Source organism: Homo sapiens, chromosome 2 (genome assembly GCF_000001405.40).
Source record: "Homo sapiens chromosome 2, GRCh38.p14 Primary Assembly".
Lineage (NCBI taxonomy): Eukaryota > Metazoa > Chordata > Mammalia > Primates > Hominidae > Homo > Homo sapiens.
In genome coordinates this window covers 88,650,978-88,673,045 of record NC_000002.12, presented here as the reverse complement: position 1 = coordinate 88,673,045, position 22,068 = coordinate 88,650,978, and the positions used below count along the sequence as shown (strand labels likewise).

The 22,068-nt window shown below is 42.8% G+C and overlaps 1 long non-coding RNA gene across 1 annotated transcript in view, besides 1 other annotated feature; it reads left to right on the top strand.

Moving 5' to 3' along the window:
- LOC102724805 (uncharacterized) overlaps positions 1-21,836 on the top strand; it is a 40,267-nt gene extending 18,431 nt beyond the window's left edge. Inside the window, exon 3 of the long non-coding RNA XR_940345.3 lies at positions 21,127-21,836. This is a non-coding gene — a long non-coding RNA (uncharacterized LOC102724805). The remainder of the gene's footprint in view (positions 1-21,126) is intronic.
- Positions 13,344-14,253: an enhancer, noted in NCBI's record as "OCT4-NANOG-H3K27ac-H3K4me1 hESC enhancer chr2:88958311-88959220 (GRCh37/hg19 assembly coordinates)". NCBI's record gives its function as "activates a minimal SCP1, AML or CMV promoter by ChIP-STARR-seq in primed H9 embryonic stem cells {active_cell/tissue: H9 hESC(primed)}" and the evidence as "EXISTENCE:reporter gene assay evidence [ECO:0000049][PMID:30033119]".
- Positions 21,837-22,068: the final 232 nt, after the last annotated feature.

Sequence of the window (22,068 nt, the reverse complement as noted above, 5' to 3'; positions counted from 1 at the left end):
AAGATGATAGATTTAGGTAACGAACAAGCAAAAACTGTTTGCAGTGAATGAATGTACAAATTCCAAGCCAGGGTTCTAGGAATAGTCCTCTCTTTCACTATATTCCATTAATCACATTCTACCTACACAATCTACCTCCTTTATAACCCTCAGACCCAGCCCTTGTATTTATGTCCAACTCCAGCTGCTCAGTGCAGGCATTTATCAATTCATTTTTCTTTTTTCTTTTCTTTTTTTTTTTTTTTTTTTTTTGAGGTGAAGTCTCACTCTGTCGCCCAGGCTGGAGTGCAGTGGCACAATCTCGGCTCACTGCAACCTCTGCCTCCTGGGTTCAAGCGATTCTCCTGCCTCAGCCTCCCAAGTAGCTGGGATTACAGACACGCACCACCCCCATGCCTGCCTAATTTTTGTATTTTTAGTAGAGACAGGGTTTCACCATGTTGGCCAGGCTGGTCTTGAACTCATGACCTCAAGGGATCCACCCACCTCGGCCTCCCAAAGTGCTGGGATTACAGGCGTGAGCCACTGCACCCAGCCATCAATTCTAGATTATTACTACATCTTCATAATTTTTCTCCTTTCCTCCAATTTCAATGTCCTTCTTCAGCCATCAGAGCGATTTTTTAAAAAAAAATCTGATCATGTTATCCTTGTTTAATCTTACAATGCATCTCACTGTTTTAAGGTTAAAGTCCAAGCTTCTTAACAAGGCATGCAGGGGCTTTTCCATGAGCTGACCTCTTTTTCCCTCAGCAGCATCCTCCTCCACCAGCCCCCTTTTACCACCTAAACTCCAATTATAGCCAGCCACTCAAAGTTTCTGTACGTACCATGTTTTATTATGTCTTCATGCCTTTGCAAGAACCAGTGCCTCCGCACAGAATGTCCTCACTATAACCCCTCATCCTCCCAGTCTTCATCTTCATCTGGCTAAGCCATCTTCTAAGGCAGACAAATATATATGTATATATGTATGTAATTGCTGCACCAGGGTACGAGGTGGAAAAAGAAATAATTGCTATGCCTATTTTTGCCCACTAGAGGGCAAGCTCCTTGCGTGCAGAGCCTGCATCTATTATTTTTTACGTCTGTATCCTCAGGGCTTTACACTGGCACCAGTATGAGGTTACTGGATGGATGCATGCATGGATGGATAGATGACGAATAGATAAAATCATCATGTTAAAAATCCCAGTACAGCGTGATGGCTCACGCCTGTAATCCCAGCACTTTGGGAAGCGAAGGCAGGCGGATCGCTTGAGACCGTAAGCTCAAGACCAGCCTGGCCAACATGGTGAAACCCCGTCTCCACTAAAAATATTTAATATTAATACGAAAATTACCCAGCTGTGGTGGTACATACCTGTGATCCCAGCTGCTCAGGAGGCTGGGGGATGAGAATCACTTGAACACAGGAGGCAAAGGTTGCAATGAGCCGAGATCATGCCACTGCACTCCAGCCTGGGCAACAGAGTGAGACTCCATTTCAAAAAATAATAATAAATAAATAAAATAAAATCCCAGTACAACCCAGAAATTGTATAATTGCTTACAGTTTATTAAGATACGATTTAATGGTTGTATAGTATAATGGTATAAAAGTGCATGGTATAATAGATAATGGAAAATAAAGAATTGAGTTAGAAGAACCAATTTTTAGTCCTCTCTTGGTCACAGACTGGTAGAGGTTGCCTACATTTCTTGGCTCATGGCTCTTTCTCTGCATCACTCCAACATCTTGGTTCCGCGGTCACATCTTCTACTCACTCTGATCTCCTGGTTCCCTCTCACAAGTGTCCTTATGATGACACCCAGCCCACATGGATAATCCAGGATCACTTCTCCATCTCAAGAACCTTAAAGTTAATCACACCAGCAAAGGCCCCTTTGCCATATAAGGTAACATTCGCGGGTTCCAGATATTAGGACATAGACATTATTCAGCTTGCCATTGATAAGTACAGGCAAAACTAAACAAAACAAAAGGTTGGGTGCGGTGGCTCATGCCTATAATTCCAGCACTTTGGGAAGCTGAGGTGGGCAGATCATTTGAGGTCAGGAGGTCAAGATCAAGGCTGCATTGAGCAGTGACTGCGCCACTGCACTCTAGCCTGGGCAACAGGGCGAAACTCTGTCTCAAAAATAAATAAATAAATAAATAATTTTAAAAACCACTTAAACCTCACACTTTATACAAAAATTAACTCAAAATGGATCACAGATTTATTTATTTATGAGACAGGGTCTTGCTCTGTTGCCCAGGCTGGGGTACAGTGGTGTAATCTTGGCTCATGACAACCTCGACCTCCTGGGCTCAGGGGATCCTACCACCTCAGCCTTCCAGGTAGCTGGGACTACAGGCGCATAGTACAGGCACTAATTTTTGTATTTTTTGTCGAGAGGGGGTTTTGCCATGTTGCCCAGGGTGGTCTCGAACTCTTGAATTTAAGCGATCCACCCACCTCAGCTTCCTGAAGTGCTGAGATTACAGATGTAAGCCACAGCTCCCAGCCCCAGTTCTGTATCTTGATCACAGTGATGGTTACGTGGATTTACCCGTGTGATAAAATAGCATAGAACTATACATATATCCTGTGCCAATATCAATGTCAGGTTTTGGTATTACACTCTAGTTATATAAGATGTAACCATTTTTGCAACTTCCTGTGAATGTATAATTATCTCAACATAGCAAGTTTAAAACATACAGGTATATTGCATGTAAACTATACTGCAATAAAGTTATTTGTTATAAAGTGATCTGTTAAATATGTGACAAAATGCAGTGTAACAGCCTGAGATCATACTTTGGAGCCAGAAAGAACTGAGGTCGAATCAACTGTGCCCTTTATTTTCTTGTTTAATCTCGGAGAAACACCTTAACCTCTCTGAGTATCCATGTTAGCATCTGTAAAATTTATATAATATTATCCATGTTACAAGGTTGTGGGAGAAATCTATGTAGACGTCTAGTTCCCATGAATATTCTGCAGATTTTAGTTCTCTTTTCCCTTTACCTCACCCTATTGTGAGATTTCTCATGTACAATAATTCACAAACAATTTTAAAATATTATTTGTGAAGTTTATTTATTTTAGTGGTTAAAAATACAGTCAAAATCTAAGGCGCCTCCAGCTCTTATAATTCTATGCCCAATTAATTCACCCAACACAGGAATTGTGCTTTACCAGGGAGCAATGTTATGAGTTACCATCAGGTGGCAGACCATCCTCCCTATTGGCCGATCAATTTGGTCAACAGAGGTAATGGTAACCACCTATACTTAGATTATGAAGTCTTTCTGTTTCCTGCTGTGAGGAATTTCTGGAACAGCCCAATTTCTTCAGATTTTCTGGCCCTGAAGCTTTAAAAGTGATCTCATAATATACTCAGCTAAACTCAGCTCAACAGTTTATCAAATCTTTATCAAGCTCAGACAACAGGTGCTGTACAAAGGATTTGGAGTCAAAACCATATTAAATGTTCAGTATGTGCGTCACTTTTGCCTTTAGGGTGTGTGTGTGTGTGTGTGTCTTGCAAGGTATTCTTCTAACAAATCCTCCTACATAATGTCATCCAAGGTATTGCAAAAAGTATTTGTTTTTCTTTGGTATCCAACTTCTATGACTTAGACAAAGCTAAAGAGAATTAAATTGAATGGTCAAAGGTGATTCAATTGGTTTTTCACTGTTGAACTTCCTCAAAAGATCTCAGATCATAGGGTAACCAACTTGTCCTAGTTTTCCTGAGACTTTCCCAGTTTTTTATTTGAAAACCCCATATCCTATAAAACCTTGGGAATCTGGGACAGTTGGTCACTCTACCGAAAGATAGCCTCTCTTTTTCTCCCAGTCCAAGGAGTATCAGAAGGAGAAATGGGAGTGGATTTCAGAATGATCTTGTCCTGTCCTTTCACTAAACCTGTCTTGTCATGGGGCCTGCCAATCAGGACACCATGTCTAACCATCAGGCAGACCTAACGCTGCCCTTTGAATCTTGGGACAGCATCCAGAGCAAATATGAGTCAGTAAAGCCTGGAAAACTCTGGTGATAAAGTGGAGAATACATTGGGGTGGGGGGGCTTTAGTTTGGGTCATCAGAAGGCTACTCTGAGGAAGTGACATTTGAGCTGAGCCCTGAAGGAAGGGAAGGAGACAGATATCCAAAGTTCTGTAGGGGAAGGCATTGCAAACAGAAGTAGCAAGTGCCAAGGCCATGCAATGGGAAGAAATGTAAGATGTTGGTGGAACCAAAAAAATGCTCAGTGTGGAGTGTGGCTAGAGCAGAACGAGAAGGAGAAGAAGGGTAGGAGGTGAATTTGTCAGGGCAGGCAGCAACTGGTCCATGGAAGGTCTTGTGGGTCTTGGTAAGGAGTTTGGATTTTGTTCTTAGTGAAGAGAAGCCACTGGAGATCTTAAGAGAGGGAAGGACATGATCAAGTTTATGTTGTAAAAAGATCCCATGGGGCTAATGTGGGGACAGGTAAACCATTCAAGAGGCACCCACTGTTGGAATCAAACTCATGGTATCAGACTGGTGAGAACCCCTGCGCCATCATCTGAGAGGACATGCTGCTGTAGGGGAGAGAAGGTAACAGCTTTTCCTCACCCATCACAAGGTTCATGACTGATCCTCCCATGACAAAAGACAGATTAACAGGAGAAAAGCATACAAGTGTATTTCATATAAGTTTTGTATGAGAGCCTTCAGAAATGAAGATGCAAAGAAATGAAGACAACTGTATTTTTATGAACAGCCATGCAGAAGTATGATTAGAGAACCAAAGTGTATGAGCTGATAGTAACAAACTGAGGGAAAACTTAGCAAGGTTAGTTTGTTCAGATTCTTCTTGGCTCTCCTGTGTAACATTCCTTTTCTCCAAGTGTAGGATGGGCACCTCTCACATGGGGATGTTAGGACCTGCTTCAGGAGAAGCTCAGCTTAGTTTCCTGATCTGCTTCAGAGGATAAGAGGTGAGGGGAAAGTAAGAGTGGGCTTCTTGCTTTTACTGTTTTCTCAAATGCCAAGGTGCCACATTTTGTAGTAGCGTGTCCTGAACCTCATAAGTATCAACAAGGAAAGAAGGCTGCCACTAAGAACAGCTACCCAACCAGAATCTCACCCCAGTTTCCCACACCCTGCTTTAGAGCCAAGAAGCAGCTCAGTCACCCAGCATTAGGCCTCACCAAGAGCAAGGGATGACTCCCCAGAGACAGCCACGAAGCTCCTTGGACACTACTGTCTATATGTCTTTACCCTGAAAGCATGCAGAAGAGGGAGAGATGAGAGAGTAGTAAGGAGATGTGGTCAAAAAATGAGAGAAACTGTAAAAGAATGAGCACTCTTTAGTGCTCTTCATCCTGAAATGCCCTGCAATACACACTCACTGCCTCATCCCACTAGTTTTCCTCTTCCATCCATCTGATGCTGGAGCTGAGTAGAAGACTATTGGAAGTGTCTTGCAGGATCTCAGAATGCATCTACTATCATTCTTGAAATGAATAGGAATGTGAATGCGAGATCAGCCAGCCTCCTCTAGCAGCAGCATGGGCACATCCTGACATGCCAGGCTATTGGGGTGTCAAGTTTTAAAGAAGAGTAAAAATGGTGACACCGGCTGCCCCAGGTAGGGGGCATTAGTGAGAATTCTGGTGGCAAAGGCAAGATCTCTGAGAGAGAGAGGTAGATAGATAGATAAATAGAGAGAGATCTTCAGCAGGTCCTCAAATGATCATACCACCTGCTCTTCTGGGCACCCCATTTTACCCTTGGATTGGACATAGTCATTGATTCAGGAATGAAACTTGTGGGTGAGAGGAAAGAGGAGATGAACTGGTCAGCTCGTGTTAATAAAAACACTCAACTATACACATTGTTGGTCTTCAATACTCCACCCCTCCAAGGCCAAGAAGTTTGTGAACCACACAGCTCTGCTTTCTGCTATAAAGAGTGCTGAGTTAAGCTTGGTTAAGAGCTGCCACCAAATAAATGCTTGGAATGAGTTAGGGTGATTGAGGAAAAGTGATTCACCTGCGCCAAGAGGCTCTCCTGGGTGATGTCTGGTAGGAGTGCTAGGAGTGTGGGAATTCAGGGACAGTGAGGCCGAGGAGGCAATAAGCCCTCAGCATGGGGTCCAGTGAGTGTGTCCACGCACAGCCTGTACCTTAACAATGGATTTGCTGCGGAGACTGGGCCAAGGTTCCAAGGTAAGCAAGACTCATGGCCAACTGCATCTGTGGCTAGTATGTTTGATCTGGCAGGGACCAGGGTGGGAACAGACACAGGCATCCCGTGAGCATGACTCATACCTCTGCTATTGACAGCACCTGAGAATGAGGGCCCCTGAGAGGAGCAGCAGTTGGGGAGGGCAGGAGGGCTGCCACCCAACCACCTTTGGAGAACCTAGATCTGGACTGGACTAATCACAAGGTATTGTTGGACAGAGTCATTCTTTCCTCCATCCTCACTGGGGTAAGGTTATCTTACCTGTGATACTTAGGTCTATAAAGATAAGACTTCTGGCCAGGCACCATGGCTCATGCCTGTAATACCAGCACTTTGGGAGGCCGAGGTAGGCGAGTCACTTGAGGCCAGGAGTTTGAGACCAGTCTGGCCAACATAGTGAACCCTGTCTCTACTAAAAATACAAAAATTAGCAGGGCATGGTGGCACACACCTGTAATCCCAGCTACTTGAGTAGCTGAGGCACGAGAATCATTTGAACCTGGGAGGTGGAGGTTAGCCTGACATAAAGTTTGTGTAAAAGATAGTGGATAAATTATTGAATCTTCCTTTTGATTTATAGGCCACTGTCACTTCCAACATGTTCCCAATTGATAACACCCCATCATGATATTTCTGCCATTAAATTTGATCACCAATATATTTATATGTCTCTCCCTTCCCACTCACCTGTGAGCTTTTTGAGGGCCAAAGGATGATGTCAAACATCTCTGGAACCTAGCACTCTGCTTGGCACATAATAAATACCAAATGATTGTTGTATAAGTCAATGACTATATCCTAGTCCAGGACTTTCTGTTTTTTACCTTTATGCTGCTATCATGGACTGCTTCCAAGTGAGAATTTATTTTCTCCTCTCATAATCCTGAGTCAGAGACTCAATGGAGCCTTCTTAATAAGAACAAAGCCCAGGTCCTCCAAACTGGACACTAGACCAAAGGATCTCCATGTGACGTGGGGGCATGTGGGCCATGAGGTTGCACCTTTGCTCAGACCCTTTGGTCTAGTTCCTGCTTGCCCAGCTGTGAACAAGCTCTCCTTCCTACACCTTATATCACAGCTGAAACATGCAAACCCAACTTCAAGAAGGACTGGACAATCATACCCGATACTTAGTTATGAGGACGCTTTATTCATTTATGTAAAAAAAAAAAAACTTGCCAATATCTACTTGTTAGTAATTGGTTTGTTGTTGTTGTTGTCTCACTCTGTCGTCCAGACTGGAGTGCAATGGCACGATCTTGGCTCACTGCAACCTCTACCTCCTGGGTTCAAGCGATTCTCCTGCCTCAGGCTCCTGAGTAGCTGGGATTACAGGTATGCACCACCATGCTCAGCTAATTTTTGTATTTTTAGTAGACATGGGGTTTCACCATATTGGCCAGGCTGGTCTCAGACTCCTGACCTCAAGTGATCCACCCACCTTGGCCTCCAAAAGTGCTGGGATTACAGGCGTAAGCCACTGCACCCGGCCTAGTAATTGTTCTTCTAGTATTTGTTGACTAATAAAACTCATAATGAAAAATTAATAAGTTCCCCAATGATTTAAAACATATTTGCATTTTATTAATCATGCTATTTCTAGATTCATTAGATTGATTGTCATATGTATGTGTGAGATATATTGTTTATTCAGCCCATAGCCAAAAGCTTGGTGATCCTGTGGGTTTTCCAAAGCCTTTTCCCTCTCCAAACTTCATATCCTGATAACTCTGGTCCCTTGAATCCCAACCTAAGGGACCACAGAGTTATAAAAAAGAAGGTAGCTTGCCTAAAAGGTAAGGCTTGACTCCAAACTCAGGAGACCCCCATTTATATGAGATTCTAGGAAAATAATACCACTCAGGAAGCTTCCCTTCTTCACCTCTCAACTCTTCATTCTTCAGTATCAGCCCTGGATCTCCCAACCCTTCCAGAAAGGTGTTCTTTCAGGATCCCCCAAAGACATATTTAATAACTTCAGTAGTTCTTAGGGGTTGGATGCCAGCCCCAAGGTCTTAGTAAAAGACAGTCTAATATAAAATAAAACTAAGCAAAATAAAAGATGAGGACTTTCTCATATAGGGAGAGTTCCACATTCTTTAAAAAACTCTAGCCGCAGTGGCTCACACCTGTAATCCCAGCACTTTGGGAGGCCAAGCCGGGCAGATCACCTGAGGTCAGGAGTTCGAGACCAGCTTGACCAACATGGAGAAACCCCATCTCTACTAAAAATACAAAATTAGCCGAGCATGGTGGCACATGCCTGTAATCCTAGCTACTCAGGAGGCTGAGGCAGGAGAATCACTTGAACCCAGCAGGTGGTTTGCGGTGAGCTGAGATCGTGCCATTGCACTCCAACCTGGTCAACAAGAGTGAAACTCCATCTGAAAACAAACAAACAAACAAACAAACAACCCCTAGATATTGTCATGCATGTCCATAAGAATTCCTCTGCTACTTTTCTCCTTGTAAGCTACTTCTATTTTGACCTCAGTTTTACCTTTATTCCAGATGTTACTTTTGACTTATTCAATGTTACTGGTTTGCTATCTCTTGTTATGACACCTGGTGTATTGGTCAAGAAGCTTCAGAAAACAGAATCCACTCTAACTAGCTATATTAGTCCTGTATTAACTAGCTGTATAAATGAATATTCGAGACTGGGTAATTTATAAAGAAAAGAAGTTTATTTGACTCACGGTTCTGCAGGCCATACGAGCATGGTGCCAGCATCTACTCAGCTTCTGCTGAGGCCTCAGGAAGCTTACAATCATGGTGGAAAACAAAAGGGGAGCCAGCACATCACATGGCAAGAGGGAGCAAGAGAGCAGGGAGGTGCCAGCCTCTTTTAAACAACTAGCTCTCATGTGAACTAATAGAATGAGAGCTCACTCATCACTAAAGGGATGAGGGATCCATCCACATGACCCAAACAACTCCCACTAGGCCCACCTCCAACACTGGGAGATTACATTTCGACATGAGATTTGGAGGAAACATCCAAACCGTATCACTAGCTTATGCAGAAAGTATTTAATTCAGGGTATTTAAAAGCTTACAGCATTGTTGGAAGGTTTAAAGACATAGAGTCTAGATGGAGCATTCAGAAACAACTCCCAAATTTGAATTAATCAAATAGGTGGCCAGGGGCTCTGCTCCACTGGGGGGCTGTCACACAGCCCTCCTCCCATTCCAGCCAGTGCTAGCACTTCTAATTTTGCCGCCTTTCCCACTTAACTCAGTTCTGAATTCAAATGTCACATACGTGCTTAGGATTAGTGGAATGAGAATGAGATTCAGAGCCCTACATGCAAGGGGAAATGTTTTTAGGCTCCTTGCCTCTGCAATACAGGAAAGCACACAGGAAGAGGCTGAAACAGAAGTCGGGGAGCAAAAGCACAGAATCTCCTGCATGTAGACACCCTTCATCTTGACTTTACCCCTGATTGGAGGTCTTGGAATCCTACCCAGATTTTCTGGGACTTTGCTAATCCAGTGTGATCTGTGGACTAGTAAATTAAACACCTCTTGGGAGCTTTTAGAAATGCAGACACCCGGGCCCCATCCCTACTTCATTAGAATCTGCATTTTAGTAAGATCTTCAGGTGATTTTTATGATATTAAAGCTTGAGAAGTAACAGTTTGGTTCTCAAACTTGACTTCACATTGGAATCACTGGGGAAAGTTTAAAAACTACCAATGCCTGTTTCCCATCTTCAGAGCATCTAATTTTATTGGTCTGGGGTAGTCTGAGCATCAGCTTTTTAAAATATGATATGCTCAAAGTTAGAGAACTACTAGCCTAAGAAAACAGAAACCCTTGCTTTGGGCTTTGCACACTAACCTCGGTGCTGAGTGTTCACCGTGCTTGCACTTCACTGTCTCATGGAGTTTGAATGCCAGGACCCTGTCAGCCTGCTAAGGGTCTCAAGCAATCACAGAGTTATGTTACTCTTCGCAGAATTTTCTATTTAGTTTAAGAGACCACGGAAATCAGAAAGGTGCTGAAAACTAAAATTTCCAAATTGCCATGAAAAATAAATTCCAAGACGAAGGAGTTGCAAACAAGACTACACCCTTTTCTTAAAGGCTCCTCCTTGTATATTTAACACAACACCTAGCACATTACATATGTCCATTTAAATGCCACAAAAGACTGGGCACAGTGGCTCACGCCTATAATCCCAGCACTTTGGGAGGTCAAGGTGGGAGGATCACTTGTGGCCAAGAGCTTGAGACCAGCCTGGCCGATATGGTGAAACCCCATATTTCACTAAAAATACAAAAATTAGTTGGGTATGGTGGCAGGCACCTGTAGTCCCACCTACTTGGGAGGCTGAGGTAGGAGAATCGCTTGAACCCTGGAGGTGGAGGTTGCAGTGAACTGGAATCGTGCCACTGCACTCCAGCCTGGGTGACAGAGCAAGACTCTGTCTCAAAAAAATAAAATAAAATAAATGCCACAGAAGTGATTTTGGATACTGACAATGTACTATGTTTCTTAATTGGTACAAATACTTCCACACTGGTCAGATTCATAAGAGTATTTACTGTACAATTACAAGTTGGATTAGAACAAACTTTCATTGTGATGAGACTCTTGGGCTCCATGTCATGGGGCACAGTAAATGTGTGGTTCATTGCATTCAGCAGTTCAACTCTTGGTTTAGTTCCAAGACAGACCCATATTATAACAAAATTTTTTAACAAAATGACATCCAAGAAACGTTCATTGAATTGAACATGTGGTGTTATGTGTTTTACAGGATCTTCGTCTATACAATGTCTTTTCTAGTGTAGATGCTCAGAAATATTTGCTGGCTTTGGATATGACTGGTTTTTCATTCAAAGCTGGTAAGATTGCATCTACAAAGACTGAAAGGTGCAGCTACATAGGTGACAAATATTGTCCATTTCCCAAAGTGTACAGACATGTCCCCTCCACCTCTCTGGCATTTACATCACCATGGCCTTCCACAGTTCATAATGAGGTCATTTTTGATCAGACAGTAGAATTAGGTGGCTCACTGCTCTAATCTTCTTTATACAGTGTTTAATAGGCAGAATTAGAAAGGTTAACATTTCACAATGGACTAAGATGCCTGAGCTAGTTTATCTTGTAAAGTGAACAAGTAGTATCAAAATTAGTTTGGGCGTCAGTCACCAAGCACCGTTTAGTGACAGGGGCCTGGAAAGGTTAGGATTTCAGAATGGGAAGAGGAGAAAGAAATAAAATTTGGAGAATATTTGGTAGATCAAATTATGAGATACCAAATGACAGTCTTTATGAACCTGAGGTTGAGAGCCTAAAGGTAGGTCTAACCAAATCACTATGGTGAAAATATTCTGTGCCCCTATATGGACCCAGAGTTTGATACAGGTTGCCCCTCGCCTTTTGTCCCACCTGCCTTTCCCAGCATACATTGACATCCCCAAACCTTCCATGAGTCTTTTCATTCACTCGTTAGAGTCTGGAGTGATTAGACGGTGCGGTTGCCTCTGTGCTATTGACTGGCAGCCAGTAACTTATTCTCCAGTTCCATGTTGGCTTTCTATTGAGATTTTAAGAATTAAAACTTGTATTGTTTCAAGCATGAAGAAACACTTTGGAAACAAGGACTTTAGAGACAAAACTACAAAATGTCATGACAACTAAGGTTGGTCTACTTTACATACCACCTTGGCTGTGCCTGAGTTAAGTGTTTAGTTAGGGCCTTACCTCCACGGAAGTCAGATGACAGAGAAGGGCAAGCAGCCTGAGAAGAAAGTCACTCTGAGTGACCCGGAGCCTGGCAGATTGGGTCCAACTCTACAGTACATCTGAGGAGGTATGAGGGTTAATTTTATATGTCCACTCAGCTAGGCCACTGTACCCAGCTTTTTGTCAAGCACCAGTCTATGTGTTACTGTGAAGGTACATATATTTTAGATGAGATTAACATTAGAGGTTGAGTAAATGAGATTACCCTCCATTACGGGGTGGGCCTCATCTAATCAGTTGAAGGCCTTAAGGGAAAACACTGAGGCCCCCCCTAGGAAGATGGAATTCTGCCTCCACACTGCCTTTGGACTTGACACTGCAACATCAACCATTCCTTAAATTTCCAGCCTGCCCTCCAGATTTCAGTCTTACCAGCCCCAACAATTATGTGTGACAATCCCTTAAAACCTATCCTTCTCTCTGACACACACACCCTCCCCCACCTGCATACACACATACATGCACATTCTGTTCCATTTATCTGGAGAACCCTAATTCCAGAGGAGACCCTCCTCCAGGTCCAGTTCTCCTCCATCACTCACATCTGGCATGCCAGTGTGTTGCTGTGCTTCAAAAGTTTCATTTCAGAGAGAAGATTCTTCTATTCTCCCATCCTCAAAGAGTCTTAGTTGGGATTTATGTCTGTCTTCCTTGCTGAGCTGCTTATAGCTCCACAGCTCATTCAAGTGCATGATGTGTGTCGCCTTTTGACTTAATTCTGGCCAGGCATGGTGGCTCACGCCTGTAATCCCAGCACTTTGGGAGGCCAAGCGGTGGATCACCTGAGGTCAGGAGTTCGAGACCAGCCTGACCAATAAGATGAAACCCCATCTCTACTAAAAATACAAAAATTAGCCAGGCATGGTGGCATGCACCTGTAATCCCAGCTACTCGGGAGGCTGAGACAGGAGAATCACTTGAACCCAGGAGGTGGAAGTTGCCGTGAGCCGAGATCATGCCATTGCACTCCGGCTTGGGCAATAAGAGTGAAACTCTGCCTCAAAAAACAAACAAACAAACAAACAAAAAACAATTCTGAGGAATGTGGGAGGCCAGAACTGTGTATAGAAACTGCCTTTCTTTCTGCCTTCTTTTCGGAACAAAGAATTTTTCCTATCAAATGGCAGTTCTCCCTACCCCCAACCCCAAAGAGAGAGGTAGAAAGGGAAGAAGGTGGGGGAGGCTCCACTTTACAGCCTCTCTCTGACCTCACTTTTCCAGCTTCTGCCAGTTCTCCCGGAATAAACTGGTAAATAAAGTCATCTGATCCTCTGAACCCCACCCATGAGCAGCAGGCCACAGCCGCAGCTGCCTTAGGCATTTCAGAAAAACACATCAGAGTCACTACTGGCCTCTCTCAAGGGTCAGGTTACTGTCACTCTACTGAAAACACAATTTCCAAGCCAATCAAGAAGAGCTTATTATAAGCACACGTTTCCTGCTTTTGGGATTCAGGAGCTGCAAGGAAGCTGCTTTCAAAGTGAAAGAAGGATTTCAGGAAGCTGCAGACGGCTGGGAAAGGATAGAATATAAACATCTTACCTAAAGTACAGCAGCAAGAGGGGAAGCCCTTGTTCCTGTAGATAGACATAAGGGGCAAACTTAGCAAGCCGACCACCATCCACTGCAGCTGGGCCCTTTATTGATCGTCTCACTCAGAATGTGGTTGGTAGAGGAAGGCATTAAAGCGTGGGATAGTACTGGCCTTTACTGAACTCCTTTTTTTCCTGGAAATCCTTTAGCTCAGCACTAGGAGAAGAGTGGAGGCCCCATATTCTCAATTCCAGAACAAGTCCAGGCAAAAACTCTTCGTTCCAGTCATTCATTTCTTCATTTGTCATTTATATTGTCAAATATTTCAGGAGTACCTACCATATGCCAGATGGTGCATAAGGACTGAGGACACAGCAGTGACTCAGAAAGCCTGGAACTCCCAAATCATCAAGTCCCTTATCTTCCTGAATGGAATGTGGGCCATACCCTGGCAGGGTGCACCCCTGACTTACTGGGCTTTAGAATTGGCAGTATTAACCAGTCACCATGCTGCCAACAAAGAATGGATATGCAGGTCTTAGGAATGCAAATAGGTGGAAATGTAGAGCCATGTGACCTTTGTGTCAGAAAGGACTGTCAAGATTATCTCTCAACTTCTCCATTTTCTGATTCCCAGCCCTGTATTCCTTCTGTTATACTCATGAACATGACACGACTGGCTCATAAGCAATAACATATCCACTTTGAATAATTTTTCTAGCTCTATATCAGCATTGATTTAAACTATTTTTACCAACTGCATTACTTTTTGATTCACTAAATGGAAATTCTGTAACTGTAGACTGGTGAAGGGGGGTTAAACGTTCCTATAAACATTCAAAGCTAAGGATTAAACACATGTTCTTGATAACATTAGTGCTCTGACCTTATTAAAATAAATGTAGATGTCATAGGAAGAGAAGAGATAAGGAGGAAACGGATAAAGAAGTTGAGCTTTCTAAAAAAGCCAAGATCTTGCCACAGTGACTCAGGATGATTGCAAATAAAGCAAGATTGGAATTTTAAAATGCTGTCTCCTTGCCTTCTCATAACCACTCTGCCAAAGATTTTCGATCTTTCTGAAAACTGATGACTAATAATAACAGCCATCCATTCTCCAGATCTTGGCAACCAAGCTTCAGAATGCAAAAACAAGAAATTATGCAAAGTGCCCAAAGTGGCATCAAAATTATAAATGAAAGGCACATTATACTTTCTATTTTTACATTTTGGCTCTTAAGAGAATAAAGGACCTTAGGAAAATATAATATATTATATTTCATATAATATATATAAAATAAATAAAAATATAATAAAATATAAGTATATTTTCCTGTATATATTATAAAAATATACAGGAGGCACCCAGAAAAGTCATCTTGAATTTGCTATTTAGCTAGAATTTATTTTATTGTGTATTTAAAGATATCCAAGAAGAAAATTCTGTGGCTTTCTGGATAAATTACTCCAATATTTAGTAACTTCCTTAACATTCACCGAATGTTTCTCTAATATATCTGGTTTTATGATCAGAAGTGGTACTATGCTATATTTTCACAATTCAGCATCACAATGCAATAATTATCAATGGGCAACACGAGCCTCTGAAATAGTGAGTTGGTGGTGCAGGTGAAATGGGAAGGACAAAAAAACAAAACAAAGCAAAAAACATAGTCCTTTGTAACTAGGCCAAGGTATGGAACCTTCTTTGGCAGGAGCAGGTAGCAGAGCTCTTCTCTTGCCTTGAGGTATTGTGAGTTACTGCACATCCTCCTGTCCAGAAACCTTTCATGTTGTTCTGTCTTATTAGTTTCAAGTATATTTTTTAATGTCTGAGGAGTTTTATCTCTGTTGAACAGAAAAAGCTGGCCAGTCAAATGTCCTCTATTTCTCTAATGTAGCCTTTGCTTCTCAGGCTTCACCAACCAAAAAAAGTCAAGGGCCCAGGTTACCCTCCAAGGCCCACCTAGTCTTTCTGGAACCCCAGCTCCATAACTGCCCATGCTAAGGCCCCGCCCCAGAATTCTTCCTCTTCTCAGTAGTAGACATCTGTTGTTTCTTTCTGCCTAGCATCCATCTCCCAATTTAGCTGATAAAGGAACCCCAATTTCCCTTAGGAACACTCCCCTCCCCACCCACTCTGTGTAGTCATGAGGGGACTATTGACCAAGGGCCCTGCCCTCCGCTAGCTAGAAATAGACTCACAATCCAAGCTAGGTCAACAGTCCATCTCTCCAGGGAATGTAAACTTTGATAGTGTAGCCCCAGGAAAGAAAATTGAGGTGATTCACTCTTGAGAGATTTATCTTCCTATATTCCAAAGCTGCTCTGGTTCTTGTACTTTTGGAGGCTTGGTTGTTTAGCTTTTTCTTTAATTTTGTGAGCTATCCCATATCCTTCCAACAACAATATATCCCTAAAATTTTTCTTTAAAATGGTTAGAGTTGGTTTCTGTGGCTTGCCACAGAAGAGTCTGAACTGACATATTCCTCAAAGCCTTAGGGACAATTATCCTAAGATAGAACAAAGTATGACCAGCCACAGAATCAGAACACCATGGAAAGACAGCCTTGTTGTCCCCCGGCTGGGCAATTCACCTCCTCCAGTTTCTCAAAGGCCTGGAGCCCCTGGCAGGATAGTGCTGCTGACTCACATTCACATTCAGTCCACTCCAGACCAATGCTTCTGGACGGCTCTGACTCTCTCGGGTCTCTTGTGACAACAACAATCTCCCTCTACACCACAGCTTGTCCCAGCTCATTTTGCCTCAAGTAGGATGCCATCTAGGAATCACCATATTTTCTACCTGGTCAGGAATGGCTGACACTATAGGCCTTTTAGATTAATGTTTATTTTAGCAATTTAGGCCAAGCCTCCAGGAGCTCAGCTGAAAATCAGTTCCAACTGGAGTCGCACGTGAAATGAGAGTAAGATTCTAAAGACAGAACTAAGGCAAACCTACATAGGACTGAAGGACTGAAACCACCCTATGCAATGGAATGCTCTACGGCAGTGAAAAAAATGAGGAGGCTTTCTGTGAGCTGGAACTGAAAGATTTCCAAGATACATTATCTTTTTAAAATTTTTTATTGTGGAAAATTCCAAACATGTACAAAAGAACCCAAAATAGCACAATGAAGCCCCATAGACACACCTCCCAGCTTCAACTGCCATTAACTCATGGCCAATCTTTTTCCATCTATACCCTTACCCACATCCAACCCTTCTCTTCAGATTATTTTGAAGCAAACCTCTAACATCATCTATATGTAATATAGATGATGTGTTTTGATATATATGATGCAAATATATATATATATTTTTTCTTTTTTTTTTTTTGAGAGAGAGAGAGAGAGAGTCTCATTCTGTTGCCTAGGCTGGAGGGCAGTGGTGCAGTTATGACTCACTGCAGCCTTGGCCACCTGGACTTTACTGATCCTCCCAACTCAGCCTCCCAAGTAGTTGGGACCACAGGCACAGGCCACCATGCTTGGCTAATTTTTGTATTTTTTGTAGAGACAGTGTTTTGCCATGTTTCCAAGGCTGTTCTCAAATTCCTGATCTCAAGCAATATGCCCATCTTGGCCTCCCAAAGTACTGGGATTACAGGCATAAGCCACAACACCTGGCCCCTCAGCCATATTATTTTACCCACAATAATTTCAATATACATATCTCTTAAACATAATCATAATACTATTATCACACTTGAAAATTAATTACAATTCCTTGGTATCATTAATATTGAGTTCAAATTTCCATGATTTCATTTGTTTGACTCAAATTCCAACTAAGGTGCTGTGTCCAGGGTCCCCAAGATCACCCCTAGTTTCAGGTGGTCATTAAAAGCACTCACAGGACCTATATTCATGACTATGATTTATTACAAGGAAAGGATACAAAACAAAATCAGCAAAGAGAAAAGGTGCATGGGGTAAAGCCCAGAGTAAGCCAGACTTAAGCTTCCAAGAGTCCTCTCCCAGAGGAGTCACAGTAGATTCACTTAATTCCTTTAGCATCAAATCATGACAAGCGTGTGAAGTATTGTCTACCAGGGAATCTCGTTAATGATTTAGTGTCCAGAAGGAAAGCAGGTATTCACCATAAACCATATTGCACAACGGTTTAGGCACAATGAGCCACTCTTATCATGTAGGGGTTGGTAGGAAACTTCATGAACTCCAAGTTTCCATATGCCAGCCAATGGCTAACCTTACAAGGGGACCTTTCCAAGAATAGCAGTCTCAGGCCTGCTGTGTCAACTTTTTTTCTTCACAGTTGCATACACTGCAACAGGTTAGTATCTCTTAAATCTCTTTTAATCTATGGGATTCTTCTCCGTTGCTTTTTTCCTCTTAGTAATTATTTGTTTCTCATAGTCTGGATTTTGTTTACGCATTTTTGTACAGTCGTTTAAAATATTCCTCTGTTCTCTATCTTTCCCATGAACTGGTAGTTGTATCTACAGATGTAATCCAACGTGGGTTCTCTGTTTTTCCTTTTTGGGGGGTAGTAAGATGACTTCATAAGTGGTGTTGTGTACTTCAAGAGGTCTATTGCATCATGCTGCCTCTCTGTTGCGATGCCACTGGCTCAGCCCTTTGTCCATTAATTCATGAGGGTCCAGAGCAGTGATATTCTGTCATTCCTTCTTCATTAGCTGGAGTATTTCTATAAAGAGAAACTCACCACATAATACTTGATGACTCAGTGCTATAGTTTGTATAGAAATGCTTGATTCACCCTCTTATTTTCCAGTTTTGAAACTAATGATGTCCTCTAGACCCCTCCAAAGATGACATATTTTTGAATATCATTACGAAATTAAGGACTTAGACATATTTGATGAGTGCCGGACGCAGTGGCTCACGCCTGTAATCCCAGCACTTTGGGAGGCCCATGCCAGCAGATCTCTTGAGCTCAGGAGTTCAAGACCAACCTGGGCAACATGGTGAAACCTCGTCTCTACAAAAAATACAAAAATTAGCCAAGCATGGTGGCATGCGCCTATAGTCCTATCTACTCAGGAGGCTGAGGCACGAGTATCGCTTGAACTGAACCCAGGAGGTAGAGGCTGCAGTGAACAAAGATCACCCCATTGCACTCCATCCTGGGCAGCAGAGTGAGACTCTGTCTCAAAACAAACAAACAAAAAATTAAAAACTAAACATAATTGATGGTTTTTAATCTGTCAGTGTCCATGTTATGCTGTTGCTGCCCATGATGAGCCTCTACAGTTTGAAACCTGAAATCTTTACATATGATTCTACCGGTCTTTGAGAGCTTTCTTCCTTTCTTAGGAGACAAGCTATTCCTGAATCATCTTGTGTATTTCCTATCCAAATCTGGAATGAGCAGTTTCTCCAAGAATTCATGGTTCCTTTAAGTGAAAACTGGTATTTAATGTTTACAATCTGGGTGCTAAGATGCCTAAATATTCTTACATTAAAAAAAAAAGGTGCAAAAATATGTTAATATTTGTGCAAAGAGGCAGAAAAAATAAAAAATATTTTCATTAGCTGGACTTGTATAAAGACGTTCTGGGGGCTGGGCATGGTGGCTCATGCCTGTAATCCAAGCACTTTGGGAGGCCAAGGCAGGTGGATGACTTAAGGTCATGAGTTCAAGACCAGCTGGGCCCAACATGGTGACATCCTGTCTCTACTAAAAATACAAAAATTAGCTGGTTGTGGTGGCACACACTTGTAATCCCAGCTACTCGAGAGGCTGAAACAGGAGAATCGCTGGAACCCGGGAGGCGGAGGTCGCAGTGAGCCAAGATCACACCACTGCATTCCAGTCTGGGCAACAGACTGAGATGCCATCTCCACACCCGCCTCCCCCAAAAAAGAAGTTCTGGGAGATGTCACAAGACTCTAATAAAAGTAGTATCTATATGGAGGTAGGAGGAAGGAGTAAGGAGTAATAAATGGATTTAAAAATCACCTTTGAAAAATCCCTCAAATACCACAAAAACAGTATAGAGATATATAAGCTCTTAATAAGTCAAACATGGTCCACGTTGAAACAGATTGTTGTTTCCTCAGATGAACACCAGATGAAGTTACAGGCTTAAGTTTGGGGGTCATTTTGAGTGACAAATATGTATCTTTAAACACTAGAATCACACTCAGCACAGTATGAAGTCACACTAGGAACAGTGAGTTAGAACCCAAGACCAGCTGCAGAGATTCCCAACTCTAGCTGCATATCAGAATTACCTGGGAAGCCTTTACAATCCTGGTGCTCAGGCCATACCTCTAACTAACTGATTATATCAGAATTTCTGACAGTGGGTTCTAGGCACCTGCATTTTTTTTTTAAAGCCCACCTGTTCATCCCAGTGCAGTCAAGGCTGAATCCCACCACACTAAAGGTAAAATTGATGTTAATTCTTCCTTCTCAAGCTTATCAGAGGCAACCCTGAGTGGAATGTTAAGTAGAATAACCTGTACATTAATAAGGATATAGAAACCTGCATTATTTACATACTTATTTCTTTTTTAAAAAAATCTATTTTATTTACTTACTTTTTTGCTTTTTTTTTTTTTTTTTTTTTTGAGACAGAGTCTTGCTCTGTCACCCAGCCTGAGTGCAGTGACACGATATCAGCTCACTGCAACCTCCGCCTCTCGGGTTCAAATGATTCTCCTGCCTCACCCTCCCGAGTAGCTGGGATCACAGATGTGTGCCACCACTCCTGGCTAATTTTTTATTTTGTTTTGTTTTGTTTTGGTTTGGTTTGGTTTGGTTTGGTTTGGTTTGGTTTGGTTTGAGACGGAGTCTTGCTCTGTCGCCCAGGCTAGAGTGCAGTGGCGCGATCTCGGCTCACTGCAAGCTCCGCCTCCCAGGTTCACGCCGTTCTCCTGCCTCAGCCTCCTGAGTAGCTGGGACCACAGGCACCCGCCACTACACCCGGCTATTTTTTTATTTTTTGTATTTTTAGTAGAGACGGGGTTTCACCATGTTAGCCAGGCTGGTCTTGATCTCCTGACCTCGTGATCCGCCCGCCTCAGCCTCCCAAAGTGCAGGGATTACAGGCATGAGCCACTATGCCTGGCCTATTTACTTACTTTTTGAGACAGAGTCTCACTCTGTCATTCAGGCTGGAGTGCAGTAGTGCAATCTCAGCTCATTGCCACCTCCACTTCCTGGGCTCAAGTGCTCCTCCCACTTCAGCCTCCTGAGCAGCTGGAACTACAGGTGCACACCACTATGCCCAGCTAATTTTTTGTATTATTCATAGAGATGGAGTTTTGCCATTTTGCCCAGGCTGGTCTTGAACTCCTGGACTCAAGTGATCCATCCGCCTAAGCCTCCCAAGATGCTGGGACTACAGGCATGAGCCACTTGCCCATTAAATGGTTATTTCTCTTAGATCTCATTTCTCCACCCTTCCCACTTTTGCTTTTCCCCTCATCCACCCTTCCTCTCTGCCAAACATATCTAGTTGAATTTGTGTAAGTTCAGCACTTGTGTGATGCTCTGTCCCGCCTCTATCCATCTGTCTTCTGAAGCATTCATGCCTTCATAGCCTTCCTGCCTCCTAGTCTTGAGGTCTAGTTCCAGTCCTAATCCCTGCCAACCCTCTTTACATTTCATTTCAGAGAAATATACCTCTTACCTAAGTAGACCTGCCTGAAGACCTGCCTTGACCTACAGCATTCCTGAGATGACTGTGCCAATCAAGTCCCTTTGGAGCCCTGGTTTTCTCATATTCATGGTGTTGTGTATTCAGGGCTTATTAAGGCATGTAAGTTAACTGAAGAGAAGAAGCTTTCTTTGTGTTCTCTGAGAATAGGTCTTATGGGCTTGGTTGTTGACCAAATTGGGTGTCAAAGTCAGAAAACTTAAAGGAGATGAAAAGATCAAAGCTCCTGCCCGAGGCCCCCTTTAGGCCCTTAGGTACCCAATTTTGAAAGACATAGCACCTGCCCTAAGGAAATCACAGCCTAAGAAGAAGGCAGGTATTTAAGTAGGTGAATAAAATACCTTATGGTAAGTGCTCTGCTAGTGGTGAGCATGCATTTGACAGAAACTAAGAGAAGAGAACAAAGCTACCATGGAAAGGTGGGGAGAGGGTCAAGGAAGACTTCTTGTAGGAGGTGCCACAAATACTGTGTTTTTGTTTTTTTATTTATTTGAGATGGAGTCTCGCTCTGTCACCCAGGCTGGAGTGATCTCGGCTCACTGCAATCTCTGCCTCCCGGGTAAAAGCGATTCTTGTGCCTCAGCCTCCCAAGTAGCTGGGGCTACAGGCATGTGCCACCACGCCTGGCTAATTTTTGTATTTTTAGCAGAGATGGGGTTTCACCATGTTGGTTAGGCTGGTCTCGAACTCCTAACCTCAAATGATCCTCCCACCTCGGCCTCCCAAAGTGCTGGAATTACAGGCATGAGCTACCTCGCCCAGCCCATTTTTAACTTCAAAATACACAGGTAATGTATGTTCATTGTAGAAAATTAGAGTGAATTAAAAAGAGACACTGAAGATGAACATAAACACATTTTTTAAATGTTCTAAAGGCCAGGCATGGTGGCTCACATCT